General features: G+C 42.9%; 1 non-coding gene and 1 pseudogene across 1 annotated transcript, besides 7 other annotated features; both read right to left on the reverse strand.

Moving 5' to 3' along the window:
- On the reverse strand, window positions 3530-5469 carry GPR89P (G protein-coupled receptor 89 pseudogene; annotated as a pseudogene).
- Window positions 4529-5728: an enhancer, noted in NCBI's record as "BRD4-independent group 4 enhancer chr6:27705353-27706552 (GRCh37/hg19 assembly coordinates)". NCBI's record gives its function as "activates an origin of replication core promoter dependent on BRD2, P300/CBP, MED14 and CDK7 cofactors, and independent of BRD4, by STARR-seq in HCT116 cells {active_cell/tissue: HCT116}" and the evidence as "EXISTENCE:reporter gene assay evidence [ECO:0000049][PMID:35650434]".
- Window positions 5192-5311: an enhancer, noted in NCBI's record as "active region_24301". NCBI's record gives its function as "activates an Ori minimal core promoter by ATAC-STARR-seq in GM12878 lymphoblastoid cells {active_cell/tissue: GM12878}" and the evidence as "EXISTENCE:reporter gene assay evidence [ECO:0000049][PMID:35858748]".
- Window positions 5322-5661: an enhancer, noted in NCBI's record as "active region_24302". NCBI's record gives its function as "activates an Ori minimal core promoter by ATAC-STARR-seq in GM12878 lymphoblastoid cells {active_cell/tissue: GM12878}" and the evidence as "EXISTENCE:reporter gene assay evidence [ECO:0000049][PMID:35858748]".
- Window positions 13953-14032: an enhancer, noted in NCBI's record as "active region_24303". NCBI's record gives its function as "activates an Ori minimal core promoter by ATAC-STARR-seq in GM12878 lymphoblastoid cells {active_cell/tissue: GM12878}" and the evidence as "EXISTENCE:reporter gene assay evidence [ECO:0000049][PMID:35858748]".
- Window positions 19621-19680: an enhancer, noted in NCBI's record as "active region_24304". NCBI's record gives its function as "activates an Ori minimal core promoter by ATAC-STARR-seq in GM12878 lymphoblastoid cells {active_cell/tissue: GM12878}" and the evidence as "EXISTENCE:reporter gene assay evidence [ECO:0000049][PMID:35858748]".
- Window positions 19851-19940: an enhancer, noted in NCBI's record as "active region_24305". NCBI's record gives its function as "activates an Ori minimal core promoter by ATAC-STARR-seq in GM12878 lymphoblastoid cells {active_cell/tissue: GM12878}" and the evidence as "EXISTENCE:reporter gene assay evidence [ECO:0000049][PMID:35858748]".
- On the reverse strand, window positions 20355-20427 carry TRV-AAC1-5 (tRNA-Val (anticodon AAC) 1-5). The gene has a single exon. It is a non-coding gene; the product is annotated as a tRNA-Val (tRNA).
- Window positions 20391-20530: a silencer, noted in NCBI's record as "silent region_17038". NCBI's record gives its function as "represses an Ori minimal core promoter by ATAC-STARR-seq in GM12878 lymphoblastoid cells {active_cell/tissue: GM12878}" and the evidence as "EXISTENCE:reporter gene assay evidence [ECO:0000049][PMID:35858748]".

Raw genomic sequence — 20530 nt, forward strand, 5'->3', positions numbered from 1 at the left:
TTTCACAGCCTAATGCCCTTGAGATCCATCCAATTTGTTGTATCAACAGTTCCTGCCTTTTAATTGTTGAGTAGTTGTTTATAGTATGGATGTACCACAGTTTCTTTAACCATCTACCTATTGAGGTACATTTTAGTAGTTTTCTAGTGTTTTGCTATTATAAATAAAGGATTACAAATAATTGTGATAGACTTTTGTGTTGACATAGTTTTCATGTCATTTTTATTATCGTTATATATTATTGAATATATACAATATATATTGAATGCTACACATGTAGCATTCACGTTTCTGTTTTATAAAATGTCTCTGTTTCATCACTGTGAAATGCCTCCTTTTCTTTTTTATTATGTCACGTCTCTATGGTAATACTCCTTGTCTTAAAATCTACACTTTATGTTAATACATACGTTTTATGTTAATTTTTTTATGGTTCGCCTTTGTGGGGTTTTTTTTTTTTTTGGTTGTTGTTGTTTTTAACTTTATTTTATTTTATTTATTTTATTTATTTTTTGAGACTCACTCTGTCACCCAGGCTGGAGTGCAATGGCGTGATTTTGTCTCACTACAACCTCTGCCTCTTGGGTTCAAACGATTGTCATGCCTCAGCCTCCTGAGTAGCTGGGACTATAGGGGTGGGCCACCACACCTGGCTAATTTTTGTATTTTTAGTAAGAGACAGGGTTTCACCATTTTGGCCAAGCCAGTCTTGAACTCCTGGCCTCAAGTGATCTACCTGCCTCAGCCTTGCAATGTTCTGGAATTACAGGTATGAGCTACCACACCCAGCCTAACCTTTGTGTTATATATCTTTATCCCTTTACTTTTCTTTTTTTTTTGAGACAGAGTCTCACTCTGTCACCCAAGCTGGAGTGCAGTGGCGTGATCTCAGCTCACCGCAATCTTTGCCTCCTGGGTTCAAGTGATTCTTCTGCCTCAGCCTCCCAAGCAGCTGGGACTACAGGCGTGCGCCACCATGCCTGGCTAATTTTTGTATTTTTAGTAGAGATGTGGTTTCACCATATTGGCCAGGCTGGTCTCTAACTCCTGACCTCGTGATCCGCCTGCCTTGGCCTCCCAAAGTGCTGGGAATGCAGGCATGAGCCATCGCGCCCAGCCTATCCCTTTACTTTTCTAAACCACTTACTTTACATCCTTACATATTTTTAGGGCCTTTTAAAAACTGTGGTAAGGGCCGGGCGCGGTGGCTCACGCCTGTAATCCCAGCACTTTGGGTGGCCGAGGCGGGCGGATCACGAGGTCAGGAGATTGAGACCATCCTGGCTAACATGGTGAAACCCCGTCTCTACTCAAAATACAAAAAATTAGCTGGGCGCCGTGGCAGGCGCCTATAGTCCCAGCTACTTGGGAGGCTGAGGCAGGAGAATGGCGTGAACCCGGGAGGTGGAGCTTGCAGTGAGCCAAGATAGCGCCACTGCACTCCAGCCTGGGCGAAAGAGCGAGACTCTGTCTCAAAAAAAAAAAAAAAAAAAAAAAACTGTGGTAAGATATACATAATATAAAATTTGTTGTTTGAATTAGTTTTAAGTGTACATTTCAGTAGAATTAAGTACATTCACATCATCTTGCAACCATCCCCGTTATCCATCTCCAGAACTTTTTCTCATCCAAAATTGAAACTCTGTATCCTTTAAATAATAACTCCCCATTTCTCTTCACTTCCCCAGCTCTTGGTAACTACTCTTTCTGTCTCTATGAATTTTACTATTGTGGAAATCATATATTTGTCCTTTATGTTTGGCTTATTTCACTTTGAATAATGTTCTCACTCTTTATTCATATTACAGCATGTATCAAAATTTTTACTCCTTTTAGGCTTTCTGAATAGTCAACAGGTGGAATCAACCCAAATCAATAATGTTGCCGTGAAACATTGGCATACGAGTTTCTTTTTTAAATTTAAACTTTTAAATTTATTTTATTTGTTTATTTTTTGAGACAGGAGATTACCCATGCTGGAGTGCAGTGGCGCAATCATGGCTCCTCGCAGCATCGACTTCCCGGGCTCCAGCGATCCTCCCACCCACACCCAACTAATTTTTGTATTCTTGGTAGAGACAGGGTTTGGCCATATTGCCTGCGCTGGTCTCGAACTACTTGGCCCAAGCGATCCTCCTGCCTCTGCCTCCCAAAGTGTTGGGATTATAGGCATGAGCCACAGAGCCAGCTGGGATGCTTTTTATTTCACTTTCTTGCCTACTTTCTGTGGCTAGAACTGCCAACACTATGCTGAATAGAGTGGTGAATGTGGGCATTTTTGTCTTTTACTGATCTTGGAAAAAAAGTTTTCAGTCTTTCACTATTTTTTTTTTTTAATTGAGACGGTGTCTCACTCTGTCGCCCAGGCTGGAGTACAGTGGTGAGATCTCAGCTCACTGCAACCTCTGCCTCCCAGGTTCAAGTGATTCCCGTGCCTCAGCCTCCTGAGTAGCTGGGACTACAGGCGCACGCCATGCCCGGCTAATTTTTTTGTATTTTCAGTAGAGATGGGGTTTTGCCATGTTGTCCAGGCTGGTTTCAATTCCTGACCTCAGGTGATCCGCCTGCTTCCGCCTCCCAAAGTGCTGGGATTACAGGCGCGAGCCACCGCGCCTGGCCAGCCTTTCACTATTGAATATGATGTTAGTTGAAGGTTAATCATAAGTAGCCTTTATGATGTTAAGGAAGTTTTCTTCTATTTCTAGTTCATTGGGTAGGTTTTTTTGTTTGTTTGTTTTTCACGAAAGGGTGTGGGATTTTGTCAAATGCTTTTTCTGTATCAATGGAGATGATTATGTAATTTTTTTCCATTCTGTTAATGTGGTATATATTACATTGACTGATATTTGTATGTTGAATTATCCTCACATTCCAGGAATAAATCTTACTTTTTCGTAGTGTATAATCTTCTTAACATATTGCTAACCAGGCATGGTGGCTCATGCCTGTAATCCCAGCACTTTGGGAGGCCAAAGCAGAGGATTGCCTGAGCTCAGGAGTTCACGACCAGCCTGGGCAACACAGTGAAACCCCGTCTCTACTAAAATACAAAAAATTAGCTGGGTGTGGCGGCGTGTGCCTTTAGTCCCAGCTACTCGGGAGGCCGAGGCAGGAGAATTGCTTGAATCTGGGAGGTGGAGGTTGTAGTAAGCTGAGCTCACGCCACTACACTCCAGCCTGGTTGGTAGAGCAAGACTCCATCTCAAAAAACAAAAACAAAAACAAACCCAAAACATATTGCTAACTTTAGTTTGCTAGTAATTTGTGGATACATTTTTGTATCGTACTGCTTCAGTATCCTTACTAGTTATAGGTCTATTCACATTTTTTATTTCTTTTTAATTAAATTTTAATAGATTGTTTCTAGGAGCTTATCCACTTCATCTAGGTTATCCAATTTGCTGGCATACAATTCTTCACAATATTCTTTTATAATCCTTTTGATTTCTGTAAATTCGTAATGTTTCTTCTTTTCCTTCCTTCCTTCCTTTCTTTCCTTCTTTCCTTTTCTTCCTGTTTATTCTTTTCATTACAATCTCTGATTTTCATGACAGTCAATCTCAAGGGAAAGCTATGACCACCTCCATGTGAACCTGAAAATGGATATCCTATGTGTTTGGCCCAGCTACCATAGACATCTCTTGCCCCAGAGTTCCGGTGTATTTTTCCCTCTTAGTTTTTCGGTTCCTCTCCGCCATTGCACCAGCCTCAGGTCCACATAGGATGCTCTCTGCTGAGTATTGCCTTGAGTTACTGCTCTCTCTCATGTTCTAGCTGATGCTACTCGTGATCACAGTATCACCTGAGTAGGAAAGAGGATGCTAGAGGTAAAAAATGCTACCACAGCATTTTGTTTGTTTATAAAATGTTAGACCCTGGTCCCCTCCATTTTTTTCCCCTTTCATATCTAAATTTTGAGACCACTGGCCTCTAACAGTCTGTAGTAGCCCTAAGTTCAAGGTGTCATATGCTTCTCTGGTGCCTGTTAGTGAGCCAAATAGAGAAACACTATGCTAGAGAGACTGCTGACCAGGAAGATCACATCAAACCAATGGTAACAGAAATTGAACTGCAGTTCTCCAAGGACTTCGGTAATTATGGTGCATATTCTAGAGGCATACTCATTCAGATTAGAAGCGCAGAGGAGACAAAGTACATGCCCATTATCTGTGCTAATAGCAGGACATTGACACTGGAGGACTTACTGCTAGAGATGGCATAAAAGAACGTGGTATGAGCAATCCTCTGATGGATGTGGCGATGATTATTCCAACAAGAATGGAGGAAATGTGTTGGGACCAAAATTTCACATCACACTGGATTCCCAGATAATTCACAGTGATCTCAACGCCTCTTGTGACAGGATCCATTTTCCCAACTCGATCAAAAGCAATGTTGATGGTGCCATGAAAATTTTTCAAACACAGTAAATAGAGAAAAAGTAACCCAGAAAATTGAAATATTTCCTTTTGAAGGTTTTGGAGTATTCTGTTCTCTCCTTGGTAGCGTACAGATCAGCTGTTTTCAGAAAAAGCTGCCTGCTTAGTTCTTCCAAAGCATCCACTTCCTGTTGAGTAAGTGGTAATACTTTCTATCATTCCCCAGAATCCTGATGGTTTGTTATGCACCTCCCCTTTCTGGAACATCGTTCTCTGTGCCATTGCCATCCTTTTCTTTGTGGTTATGATCATATCCATGGTTTGGAGCAGTCGCTGTTCCAGGGCTAGAATATCTGTGTCAGTCACATTCCTGAGGAAATAAGACATCAAAGTGTATGTGCAGTAGACGGCACCAAATCCAGAAAGGAGGGCCATGAGAGTAACTCCAATCACACCAACCCAGCTGATGAGCTGTTCTATGGATAAGATCCCATGTTTTGGGCTGAGAATGGGAAAGGAATCTCCTAGTTTCCAGAAAAAACAGATAAAGGTCAACCACAAGAGACAGGAAAAAAGCAGTCGTTGTTTATGCACTAAGACAGAGGAGACAAAAGTAGTCGGATGTTGCTCACAATAAAATAGCCAGTTTAAAAACGCACCATGAAAACCAGAATCAGCAGAATTACACCTAGGTTCAATTTCCAGTAAAAATAACGACAGCTGCTACTCAATACTCCAAAGATTTCAAAGATGATGAGCTCAAACATAGTGCAAGAAAATGCAAACGTCACAGAGAAGATCACCTGTACAACATACTGACGCACCTCATAGTTCTTAAACAATTGGCACATGAAGAAAAGCCACCCAAATTAAAAAAAAATAGTATCTGGGAGGTAATCACGATGCTGGAATCAATCAGGAAGCCTATGGTGAAGTGTAGGGAGGGCTCCTGCCTCCATTTCCCACTTCCAAGGCCGCGGCACGCTGGGGCCACCGGCCTCTCACACAGGCGGCCTTCGCCCAGGTGCAGCCGTAGGGACTGCGGCTCGTCAGCCTGACGCCATCAAGCTGCGCCCCAGCCAGCCAGTCAATGGCTGTGTCCAGAGCTTCCCGCCTCGGGCTCAGCGTAGGTGGAGCGGACGCCTCCACTTTCATTTCTGATTTTAGTCTTCTGCGTCTCCTCTCTTGTTTATTTGTTTGTTTGTTTTTTGAGACAGAGTCTCACTCTATTGCCCAGACTTCGGTGGTGCCATTTCGGCTCACTGCAACCTCCGCCTCCTGGGTTCAGACGATTCTCCTGCCTCAGTCTCCTGAGTAGCTGGGATTACAGGCGCCGCCACAACGCTAGGCTAACTTTTGTATTTTTAGTAGAGACGGGGCTCTCGCCATGTTGGCCAGGCTGGTCTCGAACTCCTGACCTCAGGTGATCTGCCCACTTCGGCCTCCGAAAGTGCTACAGTTACAGGCATGAGCCACCGCGCCCGGCCCGCTCTTCTTTTTTCTTGGTTCATTTAGCTAAATGTTTGTCAATTTTGGTGAACTTTTCAAAGAACCAACTTTTGGTTTCATTGATTTTCTATATTGTTTCCAGCCTGTCCTTTCCGATGGCTTGCCTTTTCTGACAGCCTGCCCTATGGATTTAGCAATTACTAGCCAGGTTCACAGTTGCATAAGCCAATTCCTTAAAAAAAAATCAACCTCTCACATATAAATATTCATCTGGATGATTCTCCACAAACCGAATAAACCCCGCCTACCAGCATGCAGCTCAAGAGCACCCTAAGTTCCTTTCCAATCACTATGCGGAGGGAACCACTATTGCGACTCGCCCCACACCCACCGGCGAGAAGGCAGGGTCTTGCTTTGTAGTCCAGGCTGGAGGGCAGGGCGTAATCAGCTCACTTGAACTCCTGGGCTAAAGTGATCCTCCCTCCTCAGCATAAGCGACTAAAGGCTGGCTAATTTTTAAATTTTTTTTTGTAGAGACGGTGTCTTAATTATGTTGCCAGGGCTAGCTTCTAACTCCTGGCTCAAGTGATCCATCCGCTTCAACCAACTAAAGTGCTGGGATTGCAGGCGTGAGACACTGCGCACCGGATCACTGAAGCTGGACTGTATAGACATAGCTCCTTTTTTTTTTTTTTTTTTTTTTTTTTTTGAGACAGAGTTTCCCTCTTTGTTGCCCAGGTTGGAGTGCAGTGGCGCGATCACGGCTCACTGCTGCCTCCGCCTCCCGGGCTCAAGCGATTCTCCTGTCTCAGCCTCCGGAGTAGCTGGGATTACAGGCGCCTGCCACCACGCCCGGCTAATGTTTGTATTTGTAGCAGAGATGGGGTTTCACCATCTTGGCCAGGCTGGTCTTGAACTCCTGACTGCGTGATCCACCCGCCTCGGACTTCCAAAGTGCTGGGATTACAGGCGTGAGCCACCGCACCCGGCCTGAGACCTGGGAATTTTAGGAGAATCATTGGGTTGAACAAAAATTAGACACAGGCTGGGTGCGGTGGCTCATGCTGTAATCCCAGCACTTGGGAGGCTGAGGCAGGAGAATCGCTTGAACCCGGGAGGTGGAGGTTGCAGTGAGCCGAGATTGTGCCATTGCACTCCAGCCTAGGGGACAAGAGCCAGACTCCGTCTCAAAATAAAATAAAATAAAATAAAAAATAAAATAAAATAAAATAAAATAAGAAAATAAAAAAATAAAATAATATTCCCAGGTCTCACTTAATAGGCTGTCCAAAGCCAGTCTTGGACGCCATTAGGGAGACTCCTACCCTTTTTGCCTTACCTTTCTTTCACGTCAAAGTAATTCTGTGAATCATTGTTCTCTCGCTTTTCAAGTGGAGTCTCCTTCCTAGTTGGAGAATAGTAGCTCCTTGTCACTACTGCAGACACCCTTAGGGAGGACACCTGTGGTTTCCTGCCTTGCTTATTAGATGTCTACAATTTTTTCTTGGATTATTTTTTGAATAAATAACTTGGCTTCATTCACCATTCCAGATACTATTATTGCCACTTTACTATATGCTTACAGTATGTGTTAAATTATTTAATTTTATTAATTGAAAACAGTTTTTTGAGACAAGGTCTCGCTAGGTTACCCAGGCTGGTCTCGAACTCCTAGGCTCAAGCTACACTCCTATCTCAGACTCCCAAGTAGCTAGAATTATAGGTACATGCCACCCTGCCTGGCTTAATTTTTATGATAAGTAACACATTCACTTGGTTCAAACATCTTGAGTACAGAAAAAAAAATGCAGCTAATATCACCTTCCTCTTTCTCATCCACCCAGTTCCCAGCTTTTTAATTTAATTAATTTATTTTTCTTACGTGCTATCATGTCAAAGTACAGTTCCTAGCATTTTAAACAGGCTACCATTGTCATGAATTTCCTGCTATCTTTCCAGAGATTTTTAAAAGTGCAAATACAGTCTAATACAAATACATATTCTCTTCCACCCTGGCCCAGTCTGTATATTTAAAAGAGCATAAGGAGGCCGGGCGCGGTGGCTCACGCCTGTAATCCCAGCACTTTGGGAGGCCGAGGCGGGCAGATCACAAGGTCAGGAGATTGAGACCATCCTGGCTAACACTGTGAAACCCCGTCTCTACTAAAAAATACAAAAAATTAGCCGGGCGTGGTGGCGGGCGCCTGTAGTCCCAGCTACTCAGGAGGCTGAGACAGGAGAAGGGCGTGAACCCAGGAGGCGGAGCTTGCAGTGAGCCGAGATCGCGCCACTGCACTCCAGCCTGGGCGACAGAGTGCGACTTCGTCTCAAAAAATAAATAAATAAAAAAAGCATAAGGAGGGGCCAGGCCCAGTGGCTCACGCCTGTAATTCCAGCACTTTGAGACGTCGAGGCGGGCGGATCACTTGAGGTCAGGAGGTTGAGACCAGCCTGGCCAACATGGTAAAACCCCGTCTCTACTAATAACACAAAAATTAGTCAGGCTTAGTGGCCTGTAGTCCCAGCTACTCAGGAGGCTGAGGCAGGAGAATCTCTTGAAACAGGGAGGCAGAGGTTACTGTGAGCCGAGATTGTGCCACTTTTAAATAAATAAATGAAAACTGTTATATTTCGTATATATGGCATAATTTATTTAACTGATTATATACTTAAGATAAATAGCTTTTTCTTAATCTTTATATTACAAATAATATCAAGTGAATAATTAGAACATAATCGTTATGCCTGCAAGCATCCTTTGTACACTTGTGAAATGCACATCAAGGGACATATGATATATGCATTTGAAATGTTGATGGATTCTGCCAAATTGCCCTCTGCAGGAGGCTGAGCGTGATTTATTTCTTTGTGGTGAGCACAATAAAACAGGATCCTGGCCATACTCAATATCACATTTGCACAATATTAGATTATCTGTTACAACTATGACGCAAAATCAGGCAATCCATGAAGACTGTAGAAGAATAAAAAGTGGCTGGGTGCGGTGGCTCACGCTTGTAATCCCAGCACTTTGGGAGGCCGAGGCCGGTGGATCACCTGAGTCAGGAGTTCGAGACCAGTCTGGCCAACATGGTGAAACCGTGCCTCTACTAAAAACACAAAAATTAGCTGGGCGTGGTGGCAGGCACCTGTAATCCCAGGTATTTGGGAGGCTGAGGCAGGAGAAACGCTTGAACCCTTGAGGCGGAGGTTGCAGTGAGCCAAGACCACACCAATGAACTTCCAGCCTGGCTATCAAGAGCGAAACTCCATCTCAAAAAATAAATAAATAAAATTAAAAAATAAAAAAAGAAAAAGTAAGGTATTCTACCCATGAAGCTTGAAAGATCATGCTATACAAATAAAAAACTCTCATCTTGGATTGACCTAGATGAGTTTGTAGGCCAAGGCAAAAATTACACTTCTACTGCAGAGACTGAACCCTGCTTCATACAAAACAAAAGATACTTGAAACTGTACTAATGCTAGGAAGAAAGACATGATGACAAGCTAAGAGTGTCAATTGGCAGGACAGGCATAGTTGGGGTTCTGGGGTTTTTCTGGGGACAGAATTACTGGGAAATTCACTGATCTTCCCCACATGCAGAATAATCTGCCATCAGATTCTATAAAACAAGTTTTTCTACTTTACTTTGAAACTTTGAAGAAGATAGCCCCACAAAATATTATCATATTGCAGAAAATTTTCCTAGATCATTAAAGTAAAAGAAATGTTAATTAACAGTAAATAACTTGTTAAACTTAAATTTTCCCTCTGCTCAAAATAACTTCCCTTCTTCTTCACCACAAGTTTACTCAAATTTTAGATATACCTCAAGAATAATCTTCCCTTGGGAGGTTTCCTCAGACCAACGTGAGTTACATGTCCTTCCTCTGTTTCGATTTGTCACGACAAAAATATTATATGTATGAATTTCTACATGGAATAAAAGTAGGATTTTATTCTTAAAAAATATAGTTCTTAGATTTTGCTCTGCAGGCATTGAGTTTTTATTTTTGCATAGCTTTTTGTCTAATACCCAGCAATCCCACTTCTAGGAATATCCCTCAGTGACATTTCAGTTTATCATTCTAGTGGATTAAATGAGACTAATCATTGTAGTGATATGCGGTAACAGAGTTGAAGCAACCTGCCTGTCTGTCATCGGAGCAGGTGGGTATAAACTTCATGCTGTGCAGAGTCACAACTAACGAAGCAGCTGCGTATGTACCAAGACGGGTAGATTTTTCAAAGTGAAGTAAAATCTAAGAAACAAAAAACAAAAGATCAAAACAAATAAAAACAAAAAGCACAATACCAAGGTTAAAATCATAGCAATACGCAAAAAGCAGATTAAGTGAGACGATAGCTGAATGGGAATGGCAGGGAATTGTGTGAGAATCGGAAGAAGCTAAGTCAAGTGGTCCTAATTTTACCTTTTGTAAGACAGCTGTGTAGCACTGGCCCCTGCCCTCTTGCTGACCTGGAAGATAACCAGTCACAGGCAGCCCCCTGGCCCCATCTCAATCGACAGTCTCTCCCTGTGAGTATTTCTCTGCAGAAAAGTGCTGGAGGTCTCCTGGGCTCCTTCCTTACAAAGTGGGTTTTAAAAGTCGTTCTCTGTAATCAAGAAGTGAATGTCTGTGTGCATTGAAAGGACAGAGAAACAAGTCATAGGACTGTATAACAGTTTTGAAATTTAAATCAAATTTCTGTGTGTTCTGCCCGAGGTTTATTGGCCTGGGGTTTGTGAGATTTTGTGTCCCTGCGGAAAGCCTTCCTGGATCTTGAGTCTAGAGTTTTGGTATTTTTGGTTTTGTTACGTGGAATGTATAAGGAAAGGGAAAAAGCGCCGCAAATATGACAATGGTTGTTACAGTAGTTTCTCTAGAGTAGTAGTTCTCACGTTCACTTCACCCTGGAAGGACCCTCCGTCTGAAACTGGGCGGAAATACCTCCCAGATTCTTCCCACTCCCCTCTCTATTTCAGCTTGGGTAACTTGTTTCATCGAACTCCACCCCAGCTGAAGGAGCCAATGCTGTCCCAAGAGAAGGATCGCTATGGGGCCCTAACTAACCTCAGTCTCTATGCTGATGTGACCCAGGTTAGTAGCCTAAGGCACTGCCACATTACAGGTCCCACCTGCTGGTGAGCCTGGTCACCCTTCTCAATTAGGAAAGAGTGAGGCTTTCAAGGTTTTTGTTGTTGTTTGTTTGTTTTTGTTTTTGTTTGTTTTTGGTGGGGGGGCGGTGCGGCAGTTAGGGTCTCTCTCTGTCCCCAGGCTGGAGTGCAATGCCACGATCTTGGATCACTGCCGCCTCTGCCTCCCGGGCTCAAGCGATTCTCCCATCTCCGCTTTCCCAGTAGCTGGGACTACATGCGTCCGCCAATTTTTGTATTTTCAGTAGAGACGGGGGTTTCGCCATGTTGCCCAGGCTGCTCTCGAACCCCTGAGCTCAAAGGATACTCCCGTCTCGGCTTCTCAAAGTGCCAAGATTACAGGTGTGAGCCACTGTGCCCAGCCTCTCACGGTTTATAAAACGGAACAGAGTTCCCTTTTGAATCACAACAGCATATTTTATTGGGGTTTGTATTATTGATTTTGTATATATCACGTAAGAGTTTTTTGCTGGATACTTGTAGTGTGAATATCTTCTTCCCACCTGTGTTTGAGAAACAGCTTAATGGTGTCTTGTGATAAAATTGTTAAATTTTCACGAAGTCAAATTTATTTCAATTTTGTTTACTTATTTTTGTATCTCCCTATGAAATCTTTGTTTCCCCAAGGTCATGGAAATAGCCTATGCTCCACGACCCCCCCCCCCACTTACATAATCATTTACCTTTTATTTATTTATTTTTATTTTATTTATTTTTTTGAGCCATCTTGGCTCACCACAACCTCCATCTCCCAGGTTCAAACAATTCTCCTACCTCAGCCTCCCGAGTAGCTGGGATTACAGGCTCCCGCCACAACACCCCGCTAATTTTGTATTTTTATTAGAGACCGGGTTACTCCATGTTGGTCAGGCTGGTCTCGAACTCCCGACCTCAGGTGATCCCCCTGCCTCGGCCTCCCAAAACCCTGGGATTACAGGCGTGAGCCACTGTGCCTGGCCACATCATTTACCTTTTATTTTTAGGAATATGATCAAAAGACCTGAACAGGCGCTTCCAAAATAGAATATGTCAATGGCCAGTAAGCACATAAGCAGATGTTGTGATATCAATAAAAAGTTTGCTTATTTATTTTAACCAGTGGTGACCAGACAAAAGACCTCAACTGTCTCTGGAAACTTTATTTTATTTCCAGAAATCTTTTCAAAACTCTTCTGTGAAGGTTGTGTTTGTCTGGGGGAGGGGTGAAGTTGTGGTTTGGGATGAGTTGCAGATGAAGGAGATAAGACAAGGTTTCTGCCTTCAGGATCTTCAGGAATATGTGTCCTTTAATCAGACTGCTTAACTTGATTTGGCTGATCCCCCTTTCTTTTTCAGTTCCCTCCATCCCTCTAATCCCCATCACCTAAAAAGACCTCCAGAGACTTAGTTCATAGCTGGGCTTGATCTATATCTCTTTGCTCCAGACATTTCTGCTCTGTGTCAATGCCAGCCTGCATCTATCTGGGATGTTGGGTGGGGTAGTAGAGTGGGATCGGTCTCTCTAGCCATAAGGTCTCCTAGGTTGGGCACTCAGCAGTTGCCATCAGTGTCCAATGATTATGGGGAGACTATTCTTCAGTGGGTTAAATGGGCAGTCACACAGTTCTGTAAATTCAGGCCAACATGAGGTGAAGTTCAGAAATTCAAGACAGTCAGGAGCTGGGGGAGAGAACTCAGCCTTTCCTGGAGTTGCAGTGGTGCGGGTATGTACTAGATTTGTGGGGCCCTAGATTTGCTGGGACAGTGGCAGGATTTATCAGAATTGAGGAATGAGAGAAATAAAAGATTTTAAGTTTTAGTTATTTGATGTGGGTTTTATTATACATTTTGCTAGAAAGAGTAAAGGTCAATTTTTCTTTTGATTTAAGAAATGTATTTTATTGTAGTACGAGCACTTGACATGAGATTTATGTTCTTAACAAATTTAAATGTGTGCTATACATTTGTCCCTTGCTTTGTGGCAGAGATTGATTCCAGGACCTCAGGCATATTCCAAAATCCCTGCATAGTCAAGTCCTGCGACTTGCCCTCTGAAATCTGCCCCGCCTACATGAAGAGTCAGCTCTCCCTTTGTGCAGGTTTTGCATCTTGCCAATAGTGCATTTTTGATCTGCGAGTTTGGATGAAAAAAAATCCATGTATAAGTGGACCAAGTGCCAAGCCTGGGTAATATAGCGAGACCCTGTCTCTACAAAAATAAAAATTTTTTAAAAATGTAAAACAAACTGAATGTCCACCATCAGATGAGTGGATGAAGAAAATGAACCTTGACTGGGATTGGTGGCTCATGCCTGTAATTCCAGCACTTTGGGACGCCAAGGCAGGCAGATCACCTGAGATCAGGAGTTTGAGACTACCCTGGCCAACATGGTGAAACCCCATCTTTACTAAAAATACAAAATTAGCTGGGTGTGGTGGTGCACGTCTGTAGTCCCAAGTACTCGGGAGGCTGAGGCAGGAGAATCCCTTGAACCAGGGAGGCAGAGGTTGCAGTGAGCTGAGACTGCACCATTGCACTCCAGCCTGGGTGACAAGAGTGAAACTCCATCTCAAAATCAAATCAAATAAAATAATAATAAAAAAGAAAATGAACCTGGAGGATAATATGCGAAGTGAAATAAGCCATTAAAAGAACAAATTAATTCTATTTTAGATTAACCTCTATTAATCTTAATTTGTTATATTAACAAATTTAATTTGTAAACTACTTAATTCTACTTGAGATATCTAAAACGATCAAACTCAGAATCAGAGAGAATGGTGGTTGCCAGGGGCTTGGGAGAAGGGGAAACAGGAAGTTGCTAATCAACAAAGTTGCAGTTATACATTGTATTAGTCTGTTCTCACACTGCTAATAAAGACATACCTGAGAGTGGGTAATTTATAAAGGAAAGAGGTTTTATGGACTCACAGTATCATGTGTCTGGGGAGGCCTCACAATCACCGCAGAAGGCAAAGAAGAAGCAAAGACATGTCTTACATAGCCACAGGCAAGAGAGCTTGTGCAGGGGAACTCCCGTTTATAAAACCATCAGATCTCGTAAGACTTATTCACTACCACAGGAACAGTATGGGGGAAACCACCCCCTTGATTCAATATATCCACCTGGCCCCATGCTTTACACGTGGGGATTATTACAATTCAAGGTGAGATTTGAGTGGGGACACAATCAAACCATATCATACATGATGGAAAAGTTCTAGAAATCTCTGTACAACATTGTGCCTATAGTTAACGATACTACAGTTGACTCTTGAACAATACAGGTTTGAACTGCATTGGTCCAGTTATATGTGGATTTTTTTTCAACCAAACTAGCAGATCAAAAATGCACTATTGGCAAGATGTGAAACCTGCACAAAGAGAGAGCTGACTTTTCATGCAGGCGGGGCAGATTTCAGAGGACCAACTGCAGGACTTGATTATGAGGGGATTTTGGAATATGCCTGAGGTCCTGGAATCAATCTCTGCCACAAAGCAAGGGACAACTGTATATTATACATTTAAATTTGTTAAGAACATAAATCTCATGTCAAGTGTTCTTACTATAATAAAATACATATTTTAAATCACAAGAAAAATTGACCTTTACTCTTCCTAGCAAAATGTATAATAAAACCCACATCAAATAACTAAAACTTAAAATTTTTTCTTTCTCTTGTTCCTCAAACTCCTGATCTCCTGCCTCAGCCTTTGAAAATGCTGGGATTATAGGTGTGAGCCACTGTGCCAGGCCTGTTTCCACTTTTTTTTTCTTTTTTCTTTCTTTCCTTTTATTTTCTTTCTTTCCTTTCTTTCTCTCTCTCTCTCTCTCTCTCTCTCTCTTTCTTTCTTTCTTCTTGAGACAATCTTGCTCTGTCGCCCAGGCTAGAGTGCAGTGGCACTATCTCGGCTCATTGCAATCTCCACCTCCTGGGTTCAAGCGATTTGTGCCCCAGCCTCCCGAGTATCTGGGATTACAAGCATGCGCCACTATGCCCGGCTAATTTTTATATTTTTAGTAGAGATGGGGTTTCGTCATGTTGGCCAGGCTGGTCTCAAACTGCTGGCCTCAAGAGATCCACCCGAATCAGCCTCCCAAAGTGCTGGGATTACAGGCGTGCACAACTGCGCACCCAGCCTCCACATCTTGACAGTTGTGAATTCATTGGTTGCAATGAATACAGAAGTGGTATGTGTCTTTCAGATTCTTATTTCAGTTCTTTTGGATAAATAGCCAGCATAATCATAAGGTAGTCACATTTTAAATTTTTTGGAGGAAACACCATACTGTTTTCTACAGTGACTGTATCATTTTGTATTCCCACCTACAGTGTAGAAACAAGGGTTCCAATTTTCCACATGTTGCCTTTTGTTTTTGTTATTTGTTTGTTTGTTTGTTTTTCATAATAGCTATCCTAACAGGTGTGATGTGAATCTCATTGTCAGGTTGATTTGCATTTTTTTGATGATTAGTGACATTGAACATTGTTGCTCATTTGCATGTCTCCTTTGGATAAATGTCTATTAGCCCTTCTTAAATCAGATTGTTAGAGGTTTGTTTGTTTTGCTACTGAGTTGTAGCAGTTCTGCATTTTGGAAATTAACTCCTTAACAGGTATATGGTTTGCAAATACTTTCTCCCATTCTATAACCTATAGAATTCACTCGATTGTTTCCTTTGCTGTGGCGGCTCCTTCATTTGGAATAGTCCAATTTTTCTATTTTTGCCTGTGCTTTTGGTGTCTTATCCATGAAGTAATTGCCAAGACCAATGTTCTGAAGCTTTTCTCCTATGTTTGCCCTGTTGCCCAACCTGGAATGCAGTTGCGCAATCTCTGCTCACTGCAACCTCCACCTCCTGGGCTCAAGCGATCCTCCCACCTTAGCCTCCCGAGTAGCTGAGACTACAGGGGCAGGCCACCAGGCCTGGCTAATTTTCTGTAATTTTTGTAGAGATGGGATTTTACCATGTTGCCCAGTCTGGTCTCGAACTCCTGGGCTCAAGCAATCCACCCCCGTCAGCATCCCAAAGTGCTGGAATTACAGGTGTGAGCCACTGAGCCCTGCCTGAGACCTTGTCTTAAACAGCAGCAGCAGTAGCAGCAACAACAACAACAACAAAAACAACAAACCAAACCAAACAACAACAACAAAAAACCAGTATGATACTGATACAAAGACAAACATAGAGACCAATGGAACAGAAGAGAGGGCTGGAGAAGTGTAATGCCTCCTGGTTTATTGTTTTTTTTCTCAAGATTATTTAGTGATTCAGGGTCCTTTGTAGTTTCATATAATTTTAGGATTGTTTTCTCTGTATCTGTACAAATGCCAGTGGGATTTTGATAGAGGTTGCATTAAATCTGTAAATCACTTTGGGTAGTATGGAAACTTTAAGTCTTCCAATCTATGCACGTGGGATGTCTTTCCATTTGTTTGTGTCTTTTTGATGGATGTTTTATGGTTTTCAGTGCACAAGTGTTTCACTTTCTTAATTAAGTTTAACTAAGTATTTTATTATTTTTGGTGCCACTGTATTAGGAGATTATCTTCCTAATTTTCTCTTCAGCTAATTTGTTGTTGGTGCATAGAAACACAATTGCTTTTTAATGCTGATTTCATATCCTGCAACTTAACTGACAGTTTTTAAAATGGAGTCTTTAGGGTGTTCTCTATATAAGGCCATGCCATCAATTAACTGATTTTTGTATGTGAAGCATCTTTGCATCCAAAGGATAAATTCCACTTGTTCATGGTGTATGATTATTTTAATGTGCTGTTGAATACAGTAATACAGTTTGTTAATATTCTGTTGAAGACTTTTGCATCTATGTTCACCAGGGATACTGGCTTTTAGTTTTCTTGGTAATGTATCTGTCTTTGATATCAGGGTATTTCTAGCCTCATAAAATGAGTTTGAGGCCGGGCGCGGTGGCTCACGCCTGTAATCCCAGCAATTTGGGAGGCCTAGGCGGGTGGATCACCTGAGGTCAGGAGTCGGAGACCAGCCTGATCAATATAGTGAAACCCGGTCTCTACTAGAAATACAAAAATTAGCCAGGCGTGCTGGTGGGCACCTGTAGTCCCAGCTACTCGGGAGGCCGAGACAGGAGAATTACTTGAATCCTGGAGGCAGAGGTTGCAGTGAGCCGAGATCGTGCCACTGCACTCCAGCCTGGTGACAGAGCATGACTCTGTCTCAAAAAAAAAAAAAAAAAAAAATCTTTATTATTTCGTCCCTTCTGCTAACTTTGGACTTAATTTGTTCTTCTACTTCTTTGAGGTATAAAAATTAGATTGTTTAACCGGGCACGGTGGCTCATGCCTGTAATCCCAGCACTTTGGGAGGCCGAGGCGGGCGGATCACCTGAGGTCGGGAGTTCAAGACTAGCCTGACCAACATAGAGAAACCCTGTCTCTACTAAAAATACAGTATTAGCGGGGCGTGGTGGCGGGCACTTGTAATCCCAGCAATTTGGGAGGCTGAGGCAGGAGAATTGCTTGAACCTGGGAGGCAGAGGTTGCGGTGAGCCGAGATTGTGCCGTTGCACTCCAGCCTGGGCAACAAGAGTCAAACTCTGTCTCCAAAAAAAACAAAACAAAACAAAACAAAAACAAAATTAGCCGGGTGTGGTGGTTCACATCTGTAATCCCAACTACTGGAGAGGCTGAAGCATGAGAATTGTTTTAACCTGGGAGGTTGCAGTGAGCTGAGATTGTACCACTGCACTCCAGCCTGGGTGACAGAGCGAGACCTTGTATCCAAAAAAAAAAAAAAAAAAAAAGAAAGGAAGAAAAAGAAACTTGGTGTAATTTTGATCTTAATTTTTTAAAGACATGCTTTGTAACCTAATGTGATCTATCCTGGAAAATGTTCCGTGTACCCTTGAGAAGAATGTATGTTCTGCTGCTGTTGGGTGGAATGTTCCTAATAGGTCTATTAGGGCCATTTGATTTTCTTCTGATTTTTAACATATGGGGACTATGACCTCCCTCCCTAGACAGGTAGTATATGGGGACTACCTGTCTTTGGTACTGTAGATGGCACACGACCTGCACCTTCCGCTGGAGCACTTTTTTTCTACCCTCCCAACCTGGATGCAGGTCTGGATCTCAGCCCTAGTATATGGGGACTATGACCTAGTATATGACCTAGTATATGGGGACTATGACCTCCCTAGACAGGTAATTCAGGGAATTTTTTCTACTTTTAATTATTGTGACCTCTAGTGTTTACTTCAGTTAACATCTGTAACTTTAGTTAAAAAGGACAAAACTCAAAACACCAAGGGGGCAACAGAGACTTGAAATTCCAGTAGGACCGTAGTTTTTGTTCCTAGTGGACCAAAAGGACTTACATGATTCTTCTGATTTTATGAATTCTGTCAGATTCTTGGAAGTAAATGTAATAGGCTGTCCCTTAGATAAAATTAGACCATAATTCAGATTCTGTATATTCTGAGATGATAAAGGGTAGAGGAGGCCATTATTAAAATGGCCTTAAATGTCATGCATGCTAGACCTTTAACTACTTCTCTAGTCTTACTTAAAATCACACCTTTTTTTGCTTTATGTACGCTAGCTACACTGGCCCTAGTGTATTAATTCCTCTTATTTATAAGGTTATCTCCCACCACAGGGCCTTTTTACATGCCATTTCCTATTCTTGGAAAACTCTCCTTTCTCCAATGCATTCTCTGGACTCCAAATCAATAAATAATTTTCTAGGGACTTTCCTAAACATTTAAGTGTGTGACACCTGCATTACTCATAGCAAAATGTATCTCTCCTCGTAGCAAGTTCTACATTAGTTTGTAAGGCAACTTGATTAATGTGTTTCTCCCTCAATGGAATGTAAGTTCTATTAAGGCAGGTACAATGTCTGTTCTTGTTCACCAATGAAGCCCTACTGTCTAACACATAGACTAGTTTATAATAGGCACTCAGTAAATATTAGTGAAAGAAATGTGTCACCTTCGCGCGGTGGCTCATGCCTGTAATCCCAGCACTTTGGGAGGCCGAGGTGGGCGGATCAACTCAGGTCAGGGATTCCAGACCAGGCTGGCCCATATAAGAAGCAGCTAACACCCCTAGGGCTGAGGGCTGAGATGGAGCACGCAAGTATTCTCTTCCCCACCAGGGCTGAGATCCAGACCTGCATCCAGGTTGGGAGGGTAGAAAAAAAGTGCTCCAGCGGAAGGTGCAGGTCATGTGCCATCTAGAGTACCAAAGAAAAATGTTCATGGGGAAGTCTGTTACCAGAGATGCTCTAAAGGAGGTTCCCCCAAAGTACTGCTGGCCACCATGCACTGCAGGAGGTTCCTACTAGGTAAACTGCTCAGGCTGTGGGAGCCAGGCCACTGTGCACAGTAACGCCAAGAGATTATTTCCTCCAGCAATGTCTCTCCATCGCCCTCTATTGACAAAATTTAATATTGAGCTAAACTGCGACAGAAAATATTTAAAGGGCCCAGCTCCGTTCCATTGTTATGGAGCAAGGAAAAGTGATTTTGCTGCTGAGAGGTAATAAATAGATAACCGGACAGAAGAGAAAATGCTGACTTTCTTTGGACTGGTTCGAATTCAAACACACTTTTATATCCTTGTCCAAGTGCACAATCCATGGTGAAAGTTTAAGAGCTGTCAAAAAGTTTGTTTTGGCCGGGCGCGGAGGCTCACGCCTGTAATCCCAGCACTGTGGGAGGCCGAAGCGGGTGGGTTACCTGAGGTCAGGAGTTCGAGACAAGCCTGGCCAACATGGCGAAACCCCATCTCTACTAAAAATACAAAAATTAGCGGAGCGTGGTGGTAATCCCACCTACTCGGGAGGCTGAGGGAGGAGAATCGCTTGAACCCGGGAGGCGGGGGTTGCAGTGAGCCGAGATCGTGCCACTGCACTCCAGCCTGGCAACAACAGCGAAACTCTGTCTCAAAAAAAAAAAAAAAAAAAAGTGTTTCCTCTCTGTGCTTCAGCAAAAAAAGAGCAAATCCAATTCCCCGAAGGGCTCAAAGCGAAGCGCTCTTCCTTAGAAATCCCCGAGGAAACCCCCTCCACGAAAAACCCGCAAGTGCTGCTCTCTGGATTCCAAGAAAGCCTGTCTCACCTGCGAGGTGCAGGCGGGTGGAGTTCTGGGACTCCGGTGCCTATTGGGATTGACACCACCGGGGTCACTCAGACGGAGATCAGAAAAGGAGGATGAGGGTGAGGGTTCGGCGTGGGGTAGAGAAAGGTGTGACGCGGGATTCAGCGCCACGTCGCTGGGTGACGGAAGGAGTACAGAAGTTGAGGGTTCACGTGCTCGGCAAAAAGCAAAGATTCTATTGGTTCAAATGAAAATACTCAAAAACAGAATTAGCGATAGAAAAAAAAGCGACTCTCTTTGTTTCCGCCCGGTTTCGAACCGGGGACCTTTCGCGTGTTAGGCGAACGTGATAACCACTACACTACGGAAACCAACGGTTACAAAGCTTCTTCTTTTTGACCTAAAAGACTAGTCCTGAATTCTCCCCCTTTCCCTCCACCCCCACCTCCGATTTTTTTTTGATTATGGTGAATT

This window comes from Homo sapiens, chromosome 6, assembly GCF_000001405.40.
Source record: "Homo sapiens chromosome 6, GRCh38.p14 Primary Assembly".
Lineage (NCBI taxonomy): Eukaryota > Metazoa > Chordata > Mammalia > Primates > Hominidae > Homo > Homo sapiens.